A 1724-nucleotide genomic window follows, 5' to 3' on the forward strand; every position below is an offset into this window, starting at 1 on the left:
GCAGGTTTTATATTTGGCTAAGTGGTTCAAGCTACAAGCTGGTAGATGATGCTTATGGGTAAAAGCTGGCTGCAGCCAACATGGCTGGGTATATATTTGATTCTTGATTACCAGGAGAATCTCTCTATTGCCTCAGGCAATGGACTGATTCATGGAGTGCACAATGCTCTAAGCTCCCTGGTATGTTGGGTGAAGGGGCTGTCGGGGGCAAGACGGTGGGGCAAGATGGTGGGACAAGACTGCAAAGTCTCACCTACAGGTCTGCTAATGGCAGGCACAAGCACCAGCACTGAGGAAGAATCCAGTGAGTGGCCACCAAGAGCCCTGAGGTGTGCCTAGGCATGGAACTGGGAAACTCCCCTCAGTCCCAAGTTCTCTGCACAGGGATTGGGGGCAGCCTAAACTCATCCAGGTGAGTAGGTGCTCCAGATGCTGTAGATCTGCCTGGGTGTGGAGCAGAGGGGATCCCCTATACCAAGATCTTTGCACAGAAGAGGTGGGTAATTCAGGCTGCTGAACAAGGCAAGCAAGTGACCTGAATCCCTGCAGATCTGCCTATGTAGGTAGCATAGAGGGCCCTCTTTCACTAGGATCTCTGCACAGGAAGGGTGTGGTGGCTTAGGCTCCTTATCCAGGAGACCTGGTGCTCTGAATGCCTGAAGATCTGCCTTGGCGTTGACCAGAGAGAGCCTCTCTGTGCCAGGATCTCTGCACAGGAAGGGTGGGGTGGGTCAGGCAGCTGATTTAGGTGAGTAGGAAAAGCTTGGAAATCTGCCTGCACATGGAGTGGAGAGGTGCCCCCAAAACAAGATCTGTACACAGGAAGGGTGGGGTGACTTAGGCTGCTGACCAAGGAAAGCAAACACTCTGAATGCCTGGAGATCTGCCTGAATGTGTATTGGTGAGGGCCCTCTTGCACCTGTATCTCAGCACAGGAAGGGTGGGTCAGCTTGGGCTGCTTATCCAGGTGAGTGGATGTTCTGGATGCCTGCAGATCTGCCTGGGCTGCTGTGGAGAGGGTCTCATTGCACCACGATCTGTGTCCAGAAAGAGTGAGGTGGCATGGGCTGCTGAATCAGATGAGTGGGTGCTCTAAATGCCTGGAGATCTGCCTGGGCATGAAGCAGAGACGGCTTCTCTGAACCAGGATCTTGGCACAGGATGGGTGGAGCATGTCAGGCTGTTGATCAAGCTGAGTGGGTGCTCTGAATGCCCAGAAATCTGCCTGGGGGGTAGAGCAGAAAGAGCCCTGCTATATCACAATCTATGCCAGGTAGGGCAGCTGAGGTTGCTGGTCCAGGCAACATGTATATACAAGAGCCTTCAGAATGAAGAACCCAACTCCCAATGAGGTACAGAAGCTTATATACCATTTTCAGGTTACAGAAAGAATGGAGGCTCAGAGAATGGCCACAAACAGTGGGTAAGACAGGTCATGGAATGGAGAAAGAAAGAGGCCTGGCTAGCAAATGTGGCCTTGTTATGTACGTAAAATCTCACAGGTAGCAGCCCTCAGAGAGAATAAATGATAATTTTTTTTTCCAGAACTTTAAAGATGTCAGACTCTCAGTTAATCTATTCTCAATCTGGGAAAGGCCTAGAAAGGGAAGTCTTGGTTGCATTAATGGAGATTCTTTACAGATGCAAATTTCCCCCACAAAATTTCATGGCCAATTGAGTCTGCTGGCCCTGTGGCAGTCATTTTAAAATATGTCAAAGAAATG

General features: G+C 50.3%; 1 annotated feature.

Annotated features, from left to right (window-relative positions):
- Window positions 309–1508: an enhancer, noted in NCBI's record as "MED14-independent group 3 enhancer chr9:7433352-7434551 (GRCh37/hg19 assembly coordinates)". NCBI's record gives its function as "activates an origin of replication core promoter dependent on BRD2, BRD4, P300/CBP and CDK7 cofactors, and independent of MED14, by STARR-seq in HCT116 cells {active_cell/tissue: HCT116}" and the evidence as "EXISTENCE:reporter gene assay evidence [ECO:0000049][PMID:35650434]".

This window comes from Homo sapiens, chromosome 9 (genome assembly GCF_000001405.40).
Source record: "Homo sapiens chromosome 9, GRCh38.p14 Primary Assembly".
NCBI lineage: Eukaryota > Metazoa > Chordata > Mammalia > Primates > Hominidae > Homo > Homo sapiens.